Raw genomic sequence first — 16102 nt, forward strand, 5'->3', positions numbered from 1 at the left:
ACCCTCACTGGGATATGGGGAAATACTTATTAAAATAGCGAGATGATGCCATGTTCATCCTCAAGTTAGCCAAATACAGTAGTGCCCCCTTATCTGTGGCTTTGTTTTCTGCGGTTTCAGTTACCTGTGGTCAACTACCGTCCAAAATAGGTGAGTACAGAGATCACATTTGCATAACTTTTATTACAGTACATTGTTATATTCTATTATTTGTTTTTGTTTTTAATCTCTTACTATACCTAATTTATAAATTTAACTGCATCATAGGTATGCATGTATAGGAAAAAGCATAGTGTATATAGGGCTTAGTACTATTGATGGTTTCAGGCATCCACTGAGGGTCTTGGGACACATCCCCCACGGATAAGGCAAGACTACTAAATTAAGTTTGATAATTATCAATGTGGTCTTTAGAGGGCAGTATTTCAGTGTCCAGGGATGTTTAAAAAAAAAAAAAAAAAAAAAAAAAAAGCAGTAAACGAGACAGTCAAACCCCGACCCTCATGGATTTTATATTATAGACAACAAATAGACAACAAGAAAACACATAAATTATCAATATAATAAAGTTTCCAAAAGAAACTCCAAAACAAAACAGGCAAATTAAATAAATTGGTCTGATGTGGAGATGGGGGAATGATTTTAGATTTGGTGACTTCTGAGGTGAGGATAAGCTGAGATTTGAATATGACAGAGCTAGCCTTTGGAAGCTCTGAGGGAACACTGTCCCTTGCAGAGGGAACTCAGAGGTAAAGGACCTGAGGTGGGAGCGAGCTTAAACTGTGTGAGGAACAGAAAGAACACCAGGGCACCTGAAGTGCGGAGAGTGGGGAAGAGAGTAGCAGGAGAGGAGGCCGAAGCGCAAGGGAGGGGAAGACTGCGGCAGGTCTTGGAGGTCATGTAGGAGTCGTCTAGGAAACACTAAAGGGAAGGACTTGATCTCAGCCACAATTGTGAAACTCCCTCAACTGCTGTCTGAAAAATGGGAGACAAGAGAGATAGTAAAGGGACCCAGGAGAAGGCTGTTGCTGTCGTCCAGATGAGAGGCCGTGCCGGTGTGGACCATGGTGGTGGCAATGGAGACAGGACCGAAAACAAGCCAGGCAAATGAGGAACTCACCTCAGGCACAAAATGTAAAAGGGCACTGAAAAATCCAGTGATCGAGGGAAATAATATTTTAATTTTAAAATAATTTTTAATTAAATTATAAAATAATTTTTATAATTGAAGTTTTAAATTTCCACAAATATTTATTTTATATATTTATGTAATGTTTTCATAATTTATAATTTTATAAACTGTATACTCTTTTCAATTGAATAATTTAATTTTTTTTAATTAAAAAAATCAAATTGGTAAACTTCTCATGACAGACCAGCTGCCTATTTTTATAAATAAAGTTTTATTGGAACCAGGGACAGGACTGGGCTGACAGGTAAGGTGAGTCATGCAAGTGCCTATCTGGATTATAGGCTGTGTGAGGACTGCATCTTGAAGCCGGCCTGAATCCCATTCCTAAATCATACTGGGAATATTTGAACAGTTTGGAAGTGTTGTTGTCCTGTCTTTGTTTTAAATTTCAATATTTTGTTTATCATGGATTTTTGCATTAGTTTTCATTATTTAAAAACATTTCACTAAAATATTATTTATCTTGACTACTGAATTTGCTGGTATCCCCTTAAATATCACAATGTTTGTGGCAAATGTTTCACTCACTCCACCTTAGTCCCATCCCTGGTTAGGAATAGTGAAGAGAGAGAGACTTGTGACATGTTTTGGAAGTAGAGTTGTCAGGGCTTGGCAATGGTTAGGATGTGGCACAGATAGCTAGGTAGGTAAGTCGATAGATGGGGAAAGAGGAACAATAATGATTACTACAGATTTTTGACTTGAGCAATTGAATGAATAAAGAGGGTCTTTTACTGAGAAAAATAAGGCTGGCGTATAAATGCATCATATATTTCTTATGCAACAAAAATTAATGCAAAAAAAATTTAAGGGAAAAATGGCAGCTGCCCCTCTAACAAATAATCCTCAAATATATCAAGATACCAGCTGTTATTTTTTAAAATCAGAGATTACCAAACCCAGGGCCTAGGCACTTAATCAGAGAACCTAAATTTAGATCTCACTGTTGCCTCTTTCCTGGCTTACAGAGTTGCCCCTCCAAAGCAGACCTACATGAGGACCAAAAGCCAAGATCCAATGGCCATATTCTTCACCAAGGGTACAACAGGAGCTCCCAAAATGGTCGAGTATTCCCAGTATGGTTTGGGAATGGGATTCAGCCAGGCTTCCAGGTACGGTTCTCGCACAGCCTGTACAGGCCTGAAAGTTGTTCTCTTGCAGGTAAAGGGAGCTTCATGGGACTAAAGCTAAGAAAGGAGTTTCTTACTCAAGACTGCAGAAAGTGTCAATATTGAGAGAAGGAACAGGGCTGAGGGCCCCAAAAGATGAAAAGCAAATTACTATAGTTCAAAATTCTAAGAGTAAGCAGGAGGGAAAAGAGGAAGAGCAGGGATTCCATGCAGTAGGTGAGGGATCCAGGATGATCACCCCAAAGACACACTGTGGGATGTTACTTGTTTTTCTATGCTACCAGCACCAGGGTGAACAATTGTGTTGACCACTATATGTAGTGATAAACACAGAGGTAGAGTCATAATTGATAAGGGGTTTGGGTTCTAGAGTCAGCCTCTAAGATGAAAATCACATGTCATCACACCACCCCTTTTTTAAGAAAATTAGTTAAGTAGCTCATGGGTATCTCTCGGCAAATTCAAAGGGCACTGAAACTGATTTCAATCTCTTTGGTTGAACATGCAATGAAGTAGTTGGCTTGCACTTGTGTTAGCTTGGTTTGTCTGGGGTTAAGTTTCCCCACCTTACATTCAATCCTGCCTTAGACAAATGGTTGTGTGTTGTTACTCCACCCTCAAGTTCTCTTAACAAACTACACAAAGGTCCCTTAGCGGAAATAGGTGTATGTTCCTCACCTTCACCTCAAAGTCTTTGACTCTCATAAGCAACAACGGCCAGTAGATATCAGGTAGAGAAATAAAACAGGGGAAGCTGAGATCACTGACTTAATCAATCCATTAATTAATAAAAGTGCCTACTGGATTAATTAATTTAATTAATTAATAAACTTCTGAGACCCCTGAAAGCCATAAAACCTGGAAGGCAATGCCATGCCAATTAAGACTGATACTGAAAAAATTTAAGGAGTCCATTGGCCTCATGACCTCATAAATAGGCTTTGCCTGTTTTCATTTGTGTGATCTTTGTTTCTCCCCACAGGTCAGGGCTTGATAATAGCAAGTATTATTGTTGTTGCTAGTACCAGCACGAGAGAATTCAAATGGCTTTCCTCTTTCTCTTTAGACGGTGGATGGATCTCCAGCCAACAGATGTCTTGTGGAGTCTGGGTGATGCCTTTGGTGGATCTTTATCCCTGAGCGCTGTCTTGGGAACTTGGTTCCAAGGAGCCTGTGTGTTTCTGTGTCACATGCCAACCTTCTGCCCTGAGACTGTTCTAAATGTAAGATCAATTCCTAGTGTGGAATGTGTGGGACAAAGGCCAGAGAGAGGCATTAGCAATGACCCAGTGACTCATGCCCAGAATGGGGCAAATCAAGAGTTAAATTTGGAATGTGATCTTGACTTGAAGATGCTCTCCCTGCTTGTGAGAGCAATGCTCTCTCTCTTCCCTAGGGGCTTTGCAATTAGGAAGACTTGGCTACTTCCATTGTATCACTGAGAAGGAAACTTTTAAAAGACAATAGTGATATTGAGGAAGATAATATTAATATCAGTTATCATTTACTGATTACTTACTGGCACTTCATATGGATTATTTCATCTCCCCAAGAACCCTGTGAGGGAAGAACTGGGGAAACTGATTCTCACAGAGGTTAAGTAAGTAGCCTAAGGAATCACAGAGGCAGAACTAGGAATTAAACTGTGGTCTACTGAACTCCACAGCACAATTTCTACACTGCTGTGCTAACCTCTCAACTGCTGCACAATCCACAATTTTGCTGGCAACATCTAGGCTTATTATTTAAAGCGACAAAGATCAAAACAAGGCTTCTTGGATCCAGAAGTAAATGCCTCGCTGTGTATGCATTCGGTTATCAGTGATTAATATGATAGCTCCTATGTTCACAGAGCTAAAGCTAAATTCTCTCCCAAGGTGTGGAAGGTGGGGAATCACTAAGTCTTTGAGATAAAAGGCATCCCCAAGCTGAGTTTCAAAGTCTGTGACCCTCTTCCCTGGACTTTCCCGCCTGGACCCCTGCCACAGTCTCACTGTCTCTCCCACCTCACATGCAGATTTTGTTTTTCCTTCCTTTGGGGCCCAGGTCCTGTCCAGATTTCCCATCACCACTCTATCTGCAAATCCAGAGATGTACCAGGAACTGCTTCAGCACAAGTGTTTCACCAGGTAAGAGAGGATCCCTCAGGAGAGAGTCCATTTCCACTCATGGTACCATAAATAAAATTAGGACCCCTTAATTTGTTGAAGTAGATCCAATCTTACCCTCCGGTAACACACTTGTCTTGTTGCCATTCATGACAACAACTCCATTAGTGTGTGTGATTTTTTATTCCCTTGCAACTTGAAATCCATATCTTGACCCAGAACATAAAATTAAATTATAATTAGAAGGTTGAGTTTGTTAAAAAATTTATAATTATACCTCCCTTTAAAAAGATAAACATTAAAGACAAATATACTACCTTTAATTCAAAAAGTAAATATTAACCCATTTCCCATTTTGAAGAAAAAAAAATGTGTAATTCACCGCCAGCACTCATTTCTCAGAGCAAACGGGAAATGAGTTATAGACAAAGACCACCTTCTCTCTTGGATATGAATTCTTCTAGGCCTTTTTAAAACAAATTTATACCTATGTGTATCTACCTATCCATCTATCCCAAAAGAAACATATTATGATATTGGGGTGGGATTATATAGATGGTATCTGTTTATATCATAGTGAAACTTGCATTTTTTTCACACTATTCCTTAAAGCTCTATTTATGATAATATGGGTAATACATTTTTAATCATTGCATAGTATTCTTTAGTATGAATGAATTGTACATTAATAAGCCAAGTACCTATCAAAGATAGTTGAATCTTTTCTAAGCTGCTGAAATGAGCATCATTGCACACACCCCACAATTCCCTAGGGTACCAACTAAGAAGTAGAATTGCCAATCATCATCGATAAAGATTAATGAGAAATCACAGGTTCTCAATCATTGTATCAAGCCTTAGTGTTTGCTAAATAATCATTTAAGTGTAAATTTCATTTTAGCTATGTGGGCAAGGACATAAACTCTACAGAAGGAAACAACCATGGTAGCAAACAATACCACCGTATTAAATTATGTTGACATGAAGGAACGCCTAGTTCATTGGCATTTTGTGGAGCAGTTAAAAATCGCTATGATTAAATATGGTATATCTTTATTCAGCAACATTCCATCTCATATAAAATGTTCAGATTATTTCTTAAACCCTTAAAAGCACTTAAAAATTTTAAAATAGTCATCTCTCGCTTATACCCTGAAATTAATAATATAAAGGCAATGATGTAATGGTATATTTGGGATTAATTCAGAATCAGTTCTCCAATTTTGATCTTGCTTAGTCTTGGGACCTAACTGGGCAGGCAGTTATTATCTAATACAGATGAGCTACCACATTACCATTAATATGGTACATTCATGTATTCAGAATATACAGGGTCACTGCCTCTATCTGAGACCATAAAAAGTTTTGCTATAATCTTCCCACACTTGACCCTTCCACTGGACATCACCAAAATCAAATAAACATAAAATGAATTGTGGGTTTATAAAAAATGCTCACTACTATTCTATTGTTGGGGCGCTGTGGAAACTTATAATATCTAGAGATTTTGAGCCTAGTTTATAAAATTAGTGGCTCTCTTTCCACCTCCAGACTTCAGAAAATTAGTTCCTTTTTTACCTTACCATTGCTGACACATCCTTCACAAACACTTCTGGCTTTGGGAGAGGTAATAAAACTCAGAAGGGTTTCTGCAGAAGGCTGGCTTCCTGCCATCAGTTAGCACTGGTTGATTTGCTTTTAACATTAATGCCGCTTGTCCAGAAGAGTAAATGAGAGTCTTCATGGAGATTGATCTAACTGGGGTGTCTGAATAGATTATCTAATAGAGTAGTATTAAGAACATCAACCACCACTTAATGAGCATTTCCTGTATTGGAATAACTGCATCATTTTTCCAAGATTCTTTCTAACAGACCTGTTATTGGTAGAAATATTCCCTGAGGCTAAGAACAACTTTTGATGCCTCTCCAGCTACAGATTCAAGAGTCTGAAGCAGTGTGTGGCTGCAGGAGGACCCATCAGCCCTGGGGTGATTGAGGACTGGAAACGCATCACTAAGTTGGACATCTATGAAGGCTATGGGCAGACGGAAACTGTAGGTTGATGCTGACTCACTATTTAGCCAGAAACCAAACTTGCCCATTCACTGTGTAAGCACACTGTCAAAGCACTAAGCACGCACTAGAAATGCACAACTGGATCTTAAGCACAGGAAGAGGAAATGGCTTAAACTAGGGAGACCCCTCTTCCATGATAAGACAAAGAATTACAGGTACAGATAACTTACAGATTTACAGATTTCACAACAGAAACTTGAACTAGTTTCCACCTGACAATTCCTGCCCTCTTTGTGGAGTATAAGGCAATATCATGTGATAAGAATGAAAAAATGATGGGGTACAAGTCTGAGTGGAGGATGTTTAAAATTATCACTGCTGAAAATGGAAGAAAGAGTAGATTATGAAAATAAAGGAGAAATGGGTTATGATAAGAGCACATTTGAGGTTGGAGAGCATTAATCTTCAAAGTCACTAACTATTTAGTTGTGTCATTTTCTCCAATATCACTCTAAAACACAGATGAAAAGCATGGTAAAAGTGGACAGTTAGATTGGAACAGGATTAACATTTTGCCAAGAAGGTGCAATAAAAGGGCAGCAGGCAAGGGATATAGGGATATTGGCATTAAGATGAAAGACTAAGAAACTAAGCTGATCAGAGAAGGAAGGGAATTCAAGAAAAGGCAGATCAGTGGTGAGAAGACAAGGCACTGGAGATGTCAATGGAGCTGGAAGGACTGAAGATAATTGTCTTAGTCTGCTCAGGCTGCTGTAACAAAATATCATAGATTGAGTGGCTTAAACAACCAAAGTTATTTTTCTCACAGTTCTAGAGGCTGGAAGTCCAAGATCAGAGTGCCAGAAAGGCCGGGTTTTAGGAAGAGTCCTCTTCTAGGTTGCAGACTACCAACTTCTCATGGTGTTCTCACAGACAGGGAGAGAGAGAGAGACCAAGCTCTTTCCAAGCTCTTTAGTGTCTTTCAGTTTGTTTGTTTGTTTTTAAAGAGAGGCAGGGTCTTGCTTTATTGCCCCAAACTAGAGTGCAGTGGTGTGACCATAGCTCCCTGCAGCCTCAAACTCCTGGGATCAAGAGATTCTCCAACCTCAGCCTCTCAAACAGTTGGGACTACAGGTGTGCACCACCATGCTTGCTATTTATTTTATTTTATTTTTTAGCACAGACACAGACTTGCTATGTTGCCCAGACTGGTTTCAAACTCCTGGCCTCAGGGACCTTCCCACCTCAGCAACCCAGCATATCCAAGATGACAGACACAATTCACTGTGCCCAGCATCTCTTCTTATAAGGGCACTAATCCCATCATGAGAGTGCCACCCTCATGACCTCATCTAAACCCAATGACCTCCCAAAGGCCTCATCTCCAAATACCATCACAGTGAGCAGTAGGGAATTAGCACATAAATTTTGAGGAGACACATCACACTCCCTGGAGATCAGGATCAAGGAAGGAAGAGACTGGGGGTAGAACTGATCATTCATATGGCTGCAGGAGGCACTAGGGATGACAGCGGGACCTGGAATCAAAGGAAAGATAATGAACCTCATGCTGAAGGCCTTAATGGATAAGGAATGACTGAGAGGTTGGTAAATTATAGACAACAAAGAGTGGTATAGGGTGGTAAATGTAAATGGCATGAATCTCAAAAAGACAAGGGAATTGCACATAGCGTCAGAGAAGTAATGGTCAGAAGGTGGTATTGGGAGCTCAAAAGATGCCAAACCCAAGGAATATAAAAGGATCAACATCCCCCACTTGAAAAAAATAAGTAGAAACCTCTTCCCATGGAAGAGCCAGGTCTCTGGAAAGGTAACTGATGAAGAGAACATCCAGTAAAGAGGATATAGATGTGGATGTAGAATAGTTCCTTAACCACTCAATTGATGTTCTATCTAGACACCATGTGAAAAGTTTCTGGAAGGAAAGAGTCAGGGAACAAACAGTCCTGTTCCTGCAACATGAGGATGAAAATAAGCAGGAAAGCTTATATGATGGAAACACCACAGATAAGAATGTAGAGCTGGTACCTTAGGCTGGTGGCCAAATTTTTACATGAATTGGTTTCAGTGTTTTCCAGGTAGATAGGAACAAAAGAAAATAGAGAAGTGGGCCAGGAGCAGTGGCTCACGCCTGTAATCCCAGCACTTTGGGAGGCCAAGGCAGGCAAATCACAAGGTCAAGAGATTGAGACCATCCTGGCCAACATGTGAAACCCTGTATTTACTAAAAATACAAAAAATTAGCCGGGTGTGGTGGCACGCACCTGCAGTCCCAGCTACTCGGGAGGCTGAGGCAGGAGAATCACCTGAATCTGGGAGGCGGAGGTTGCAGTGAGCCAAGATCGCACCACTGCACTCCAGCCTGGGGACAGAGTGAGACTCCATCTCAAAAAAAAAAAAGAAAAAGAAAAAGAAAATAGGGAAGTGTTGCCTGGATTAACTGCATTCACTGCCAGATGGTCCATAAAATAGGCTTCCTGAGAAGCAAAAACACAAAATATTTTTGAGAGAATTGAATACCCAATGTTTTTAAAACATTCAAATAGCATGGGAGAAATAAGAATTTGTGGTGGGGGGCAGGGGGATTTCTTACATTTGTTTTATATATTACTACTGTTTTTATTAATTATACTAAGAAGGGAATTCCATAATCTTGGTAACACCAAAGCCTTTTTATAGGACTTAGTTCTGTCATACGTCCAAAAAAAATTCTTTGGTGACTAAGAAAACCTCAGACTGTGTGGGAGAAGACAAAACAGCCAAATTGATAGCCTAGGCTCTGGGGAGAGGTCTATAGTTTGAGGACCCTGGTGGAGCTATGTAGTTCCATATGGCTCAGGAAACATCCTCACTTAGAAAGCTAAAGAAAATTCAGAACACAAGGTTCAAAACTTTGAGACCTCATAGTCAAGCTCACGCTTGGTACGCAAGTTACAATTCAAAACTGTAAAAGAGGGAACTTGAGAAATGATCAAATTCTGTCTCAGATTCTGTCTATACTACACTCACAGATCCATTTAATTACATCCAAAGAGTTGACATTTTCAGCACCCAGGACTCATTGCATTGTATTTCCCCACTGATCTCAGGTTGTGAATGATTCTGTCTAGCAAGAAAACAGCACATCTTAGGCAGTAATGATTTTGGCTTTATCTTTCTTTTTATGAAATACAAATATAACTGACACTCAGAACATCTGAAATAAGGCAAGGTTGATACACTAAGTTGATATGACTCCAGCAACACCTAATAAACTTGGCATTTTTAGTTAGTCACACAACCTGCATGGGAGAAAATGTACATCTTCCATTTAATTGTAATGTACTGGCAATAGCTAAGGAGTCTTGTGTTTTGTGAGCATTATTTGGGATGCAAGTGATGGAAACATATTTCAAACAAGCCTGAGCAAAAGTGGAAATTATAAGTCCATTTTGCTGGGAATAGCTTCAAGGCTTACGGAATCAAGACTGGAGAGGCCAAAACACCAGGACTAAAAAAACTCTTAAAACATCAGCTCTCTCTTTCTCTCCCTCTCAATTGCTCCATCTGCTTTTTTCTCTGAGTTGTTCTCTGATGAGTTTCTTCCACAAAGCAGACAAGATTAACACCAGCAACTCTGGAGTCACCACTCCTTCAGACAAGATCAAAATAGCCCTACTTCTACCTCTACTTTGGAAAATTCTTGGAACAGACTCTGATTGTCCATGCTTCTGTCATATGCTTTTCCCTTGGACTATAACTTAAGGGGCCTAACCTGAGACATTTGTTCATGCCAAAAAGTGGATCTACAGAACCATGATTAATAGTCCCACCAGATTAGATGAAGGGAAGGAGGAGTTCTTAAAGGAACCATAAAACTAGTTACTGCGGTACACTAGAGAGAGATTACTATGGCCATCCTCAAAAACATTCAGAATCTGGGGGCTCCCAATTTGTTAGCATGTAAACACAAGAAAATATTAAGTCTCTTTCCGTGTAAGACACAGCAATAGGTACTGGAAAAATAACTATGTAGAAGACAGAAATAATTCCTGTTCTAGGCTGGGAACAGTGGCTCATGCCTATAGTCCCAGCACTTTAGGGGTAAAATTCTAATAAATAAAATTTTCTCCATCCCATTACACCCATGGTTGACTCATCCAAGATCCAGTTCTCATGTCCTCCAAGGTAGACCTCTGTGCCCTCTTTGGGGTGCCCTGCATGTATGCTGAAGTATTTCTCAGCAGCCAACAATTACTTATTTTTGAGACATTTATTATTGAAAATCTCAAAAGACAAAAATAGACAAAACTGTATTTGAATTCCCATGCATCCACTGCCCATTTCATCAATTATTACCTAATCCTGTTTTATCATTACTCCTCTACAATCCCAAAAACAATATTTTCTCATAAATAGCTTTAGTATATTTAAAAAAAAGGCACTAAAAAACAAACATATTCTCCAATTATACCTGAAAGTTAACAGTAATTGCCTTTTATTAACAAATATCTACCACTGACATTTTCATCCATCATCTAAGTCATGCATGTTTTCTTGCTACCATTTGTTCCAATTAAGCACACACATTGTGGCTAGTTGGTAAGACTTTTGTGTATCTTTTAATCTATGAATTTCCTCATTACCTTCTTTTTTCCTTGAATTTGTTATTTTAAAAAACTGAGTTGTTGGTTCTTTTGAATATTTCACAGCCTGGATTTTGCTAATTGCAGTATGGTTTACATGTTCTTCTGTTCCCCTGCATTTCCTGTAAATTGACCTAGAGGTTAATTTAGTCACACTCCTGCTTGATTTTTTTTTAATCAAGATTACTTGTTAGACTGTGTAATGTTGTTCTGTTAGGAGGCACATAATGTCTGGTTATGATCAATAACTAGATCCATTAATTTATTGCTTTTTTAAAGAAAAACTTGTCTGCATTTCTTTGAACAGGGTCTACTCTGTGCCACTTCCAAAACAATAAAATTGAAGCCAAGCTCTCTGGGGAAGCCATTGCCACCTTATATTGTCCAGGTAGGAGATCATAGTAATGATTATGACAGATATTATTAAGTGAGCTCTTACAGTTGTTTATCTAAATTTCTGACATAAAGGTAGGCAATGAGGAAAGTCCACCATTCTCTAAATTCACCCCAAGGATAATCTCACATTATTGCTTTTATTTCCACCTCAATATCCTTTTGGAATACAAAGCCCAGACACAGGAATGAGGGAAGGAGATGCTGACAATTTTGCAGAATATCCCTTTAATGTAGTTCAAGTTTCAAATATGGAGAAATCGAATAAAAAAAATTGCTATTAAAAAGATATGTGCAAAATAAAGACAACTATTTTGAATGCACCATAATAAGCATTCTGTACTTGAACTAAAAATATACTAAAGTGGGAAGTCTAAGCCACTAGTCAGCTGCTCGGGTGTCGATTATTATAAATACTGTAATGTGATTCCCAAATGATGTAGCTGAATTCACAGTATGGGCATAGGAAGCAATACTAAGATGGTAGGGCAAATGCTGTGTCTAGGATTTTATTACATAAAAGCAGACTCAAATTAGCAGCACTTATGAAATTACCATTATTCATTTTAAGATAGTCCTTTGCTTTCACGCCTATCTCGCCTTTTTTTAACATTGGTCAAAAGGAAATAGTAAGTTCTCAACCTGAATGAAACAAATATTAGTATTTACTTTAACTATTGTATCATTCTGAAATTGACCCAATTTTGTTAAAGATAATGTTTACTGTAGAGTTCTATTTTTTGTTTTTTGTTTGCCTATCCAGTTTCACTACATATTATTTAACAGGATGTGGAAGTTAACCTAATACATTGAGGTTTATATGTTTGTTTTTTCCAGTAATCATGAATAGGTACTACATTATATTAAATGTGTTTTCTGATCCTATTAAAAAGGTAAAATAGTTTTTCTCTATTAATAGAGTTAATTAAAAATATTTTCAAATGTTAAATTTTCGTTGCATTTCTTTCTTTTTATTTTCTTGGATTTAATTTCTTAATTTTTATTTGTTTGGGCCTTTGCATTTAGAGACATGAATAAAATGAGCATGTAATTTTCCTCTCAAAAAATAAGAAAAAATTAAAATGTTCCTTGCATACTAAAGTATAAACAAAAATGAAATAAATGAAATTGAAAAATAAAATGTTCCTTAGGATTTTCTTAGAAAAAAAATCTTCCTACAAAATCAACAAACCTTAGAACTAAGAAAAACAAATGAGAAAAATACACAAAGAAATAAAATCAGAAGTGAAAGAGGAGAAACTCCAACTCATGCCATAGAAATGTGAAGAATCCCTATAGAATCCCTATGAATAATTATATGTCAACAAAGCCAGGTGTGGTGGTGCATGCCTGAAATCCCAGCACTTTCGGAGGCCGAGGCCAGTGGATCACTTGAGGTCAAGAGTTCAAGACCATCCTGGCCAACATGGTGAAACCCCGTCTTTACAAAAATACAAAAATTAGCCGGGTGTGATGGCAGATGCCTGTAATCTCAGCTACTCAGCAGGCTGAGGCAGGAGAATCCCTTGAACTCAGCAGGCGGGGGTTGCAGGGAGCCAAGATCATGCCACTGCACTCCAGCCTGGGTGACAAGAGCAAAACTCCATCTCAAAAAAAAAGAAAGGAAAAAAATTATATGTCAACAAAATAGACCACTTAGAAAAAATGGATAAAGTCCTAAAAACATACAACCTACCAAGACTGAATCATAAAGAATTAAAAAGTCAGAACATACCAATAACTAACAAAGAGATTAAATTAGTAATCAAAAACCTTCCAACAAAGAAAAGCCCAGCACCAAATGCCTTCACAGATGCATTCTACCAGAATGAGGGACAAAGATGACATGATAATCTCAAAAGACACAGCAAAAGCATTCCACAAGATTCAACACCTTTTGATGATAAAAATTCTCAAGAAATTGGGTAGAGAAGGAACTTACCTCAACACAATAAAGGCCATATATAAAAAGCACATAGCTAACTAACATCATACTCAATGGTCAAAAACTGAAAGCTTTTCTCTCATATCTGGAACAAGGAAATGATACACATTCTCACCACTTCTATCCAACATAGTATTATAATTCCTAGCCAGAGTAAGTAGAAAATAAAAGGAAAAAAGAAGTATTCAAATCAGAAAGGAAGAAGTAAGATTATCTCTGTTTGCAGATTACATGATCTTATAGATGTGCAGAAAATTATATTTCTACATATGGTATAAAGAAAAGTCTAAAGATTAACCAAAAAAATTAGGATAAACAAATTTAACAAAGTTTCAGGATACAAGATCAATACACAAAAATCAGTTGTGTTTCTATACACTACAATAAATTATCAAAAAGGAAATTAAGAAAACAATCTTGGCTGGGCAAGGTGGCTTACACCCGTAATCCCAGCACTTTGGGAGGCCAAGGTGGGCAGATCACTTGAGGCCAGGAGTTCGAGACCAGCCTGGCCAACATGGCAAAACCCCATCTCTACTAAAAATAAAAAAATTAGCCAGGCATGGTGGCATATGACTGTAATCCCAGCTACTCAGGAGGCTGAGGCAGGAGAATCACTTGAACGCGGGAGGTGCAGGTTGTAGTGAGCAGAGATCACACCACTGCACTCCAGCCTGGGTGACACAGCAAGATCTGTCTCAAAAAAAAAAAAAAAAAGTCTAACTCATAGATCTGGAAAGTGAATTGGTGGTTGCCAGGAGCTGGTGGAGAGGAGAAAACAGGAAGGTATCCACCAAGGGGTACAAAATTTCAGCTACACAGACAGTAACTACTAGAGATCTACTGTACAGCATAATGCCAACAGTTAACAACACTGTATTACATACTTAAAATCTTGCTAAGGAGATATATTAAGTGTTCTTATTACCAAAATAATAATAATAATAAGAGGGTGGGAGGAAACTTTTGAAGGTGATGAATAGGTTTATGGCATAGATTGTGGTGACAGTTCCATGGGTGTTTACTTATCTTCAAACTCATCAAGTTGTATACATTAAATATGTATAGCTTTTTGCATGTCAACTATACCTCATTAGAGGGTTTATTTTTTTAATTCAGGTGAGAAAGGAGAAGAGGACCCACACAAAGGGGGAAGATGAAAGAGATATTTTTTAATTTGTCAAATGAAGTATAACTTCATTCCTTACACTCCCTATCCAAAACACGCACACATACAGACACACACACACACACACACACACACACACACTTCCCACAAAGAAAAACAGGCCCAAATGGCTTTGCGGTGAATTCTATCTAACATTTAAGGAAGCATTAACATTAATCCTTCACAAACTCTCCCCAAAAACATATAACACCAGGATTTTGGAGGCTGTGTCTCAAAATGGGGTCATAGTATGAGCCAGGATCATCCTGATACCAAAACCAAAGACATCACAAGAAAAGAAAACCATAAATTAATATTTCTGATTACTATAGGTGCCAAAAAATCTCAACAAAATACCAGCCAACCTAACAAGGAACATATAAATGGATTATATACCATAACCAAGTGGAATTATTCCAGAAATACAAAGTTGGTTCAAACTATAAAAACCAATTAATACACCATAAAACAAAGTACACAAATCACATGATCATCTCAACAGACACAGAAAAATCATTGACAAAATCTAACACCAACACCTATTTATGGTAACAACCCTCAACAAACTAGCAATGAAAGGGAGCTTTCTCAACCTGACAAAGAGCATACAGAAACCCCATAGCTCACATCAGACTCAACAGTAAAAAACTGAAAGTGCTCCCACTGAGATCAGGACTTATGAGAATATTCACTCTTCATAGAGGTTCTATCCAGAGCAATCAGGCAAGAAAAAGAAATAGCATCCCAATTGGAAAAGAAGAAATAAAACTATCTCTATTCAACATGACATGACCATGTATATAGAAAATCCTAAGGAATACACACACACTATTAGAGCTAAAAATTGAGGTCATCAAAGTTGCAGGAAATAAGATCAATATACAAAAAATTATTAATAGTATTTCTACATAGTATCAATAAACAATCAAAAAATAAAATTAATAGAACAATCTCATTGAAAATAAAATTTTTTAAATCTCATTTAAAAATGTATTCTCTAGATAATTCATCTAATTTACTAGACTTAGTACTAAATGCCACTTCTTTTCCCAAAGTCTAAAGTTCGTCATCAAAGTATAAAGATGTATTATCCCTGAAGACCTCTGATCCTTAGGGCTGGTAGTTTCCATAGAAAAGTTTCCAAGTATTCAGCAAGGATAATAAATTCAAAATGAGTACGCATATTGCTTTCCAAGGTGACAATTTGGAAGGTTGTAGCCCTCAAAATTGAGCTAGCATCTCAGTGTACTTTTTAACTCCTGTCACATTACTTCATGGTCATGCCTTCCATTTCAGGTCAATAAAGAAGCCACTCGGCTGAAATAAGTCATTATTTTCTTTTTTGAGACAGAGTTTTGCTCTTGTTGCCCAGGCTGGGGTGCAATGGCATGATCTTGGCCTCCCGGGTTCAAGCAATTCTCCTGCCTCAGCCTCCCAAGTAGCTGGGATTATAGGCATGCGCCACCACGCCCAGCTAATTTTGTATTTTTAGTAGAGACAGG

At 38.0% G+C, this 16102-nt stretch overlaps 1 protein-coding gene and 1 long non-coding RNA gene across 4 annotated transcripts in view; one reads left to right on the plus strand and one right to left on the minus strand.

The window, feature by feature from the left end:
* The window catches only part of LOC107984257 (uncharacterized), a 125247-nt gene that overhangs the window by 104958 nt on the left and 4187 nt on the right, over positions 1 to 16102 (minus strand). The window lies entirely within an intron of this gene.
* Positions 1 to 16102, plus strand: part of ACSM6 (acyl-CoA synthetase medium chain family member 6) — a 34692-nt gene that overhangs the window by 14252 nt on the left and 4338 nt on the right. For all 3 annotated transcript variants that reach the window (NM_207321.3, XM_047424639.1, XM_047424638.1), the window contains 5 exons: positions 2161 to 2304; positions 3389 to 3545; positions 4369 to 4451; positions 6363 to 6486; positions 11402 to 11482. In NM_207321.3, the coding sequence (NP_997204.2) occupies positions 2161 to 2304; positions 3389 to 3545; positions 4369 to 4451; positions 6363 to 6486; positions 11402 to 11482 (589 nt within the window). The remainder of the gene's footprint in view (positions 1 to 2160; positions 2305 to 3388; positions 3546 to 4368; positions 4452 to 6362; positions 6487 to 11401; positions 11483 to 16102) is intronic.

Source organism: Homo sapiens, chromosome 10 (genome assembly GCF_000001405.40).
Source record: "Homo sapiens chromosome 10, GRCh38.p14 Primary Assembly".
Taxonomy (NCBI): domain Eukaryota; kingdom Metazoa; phylum Chordata; class Mammalia; order Primates; family Hominidae; genus Homo; species Homo sapiens.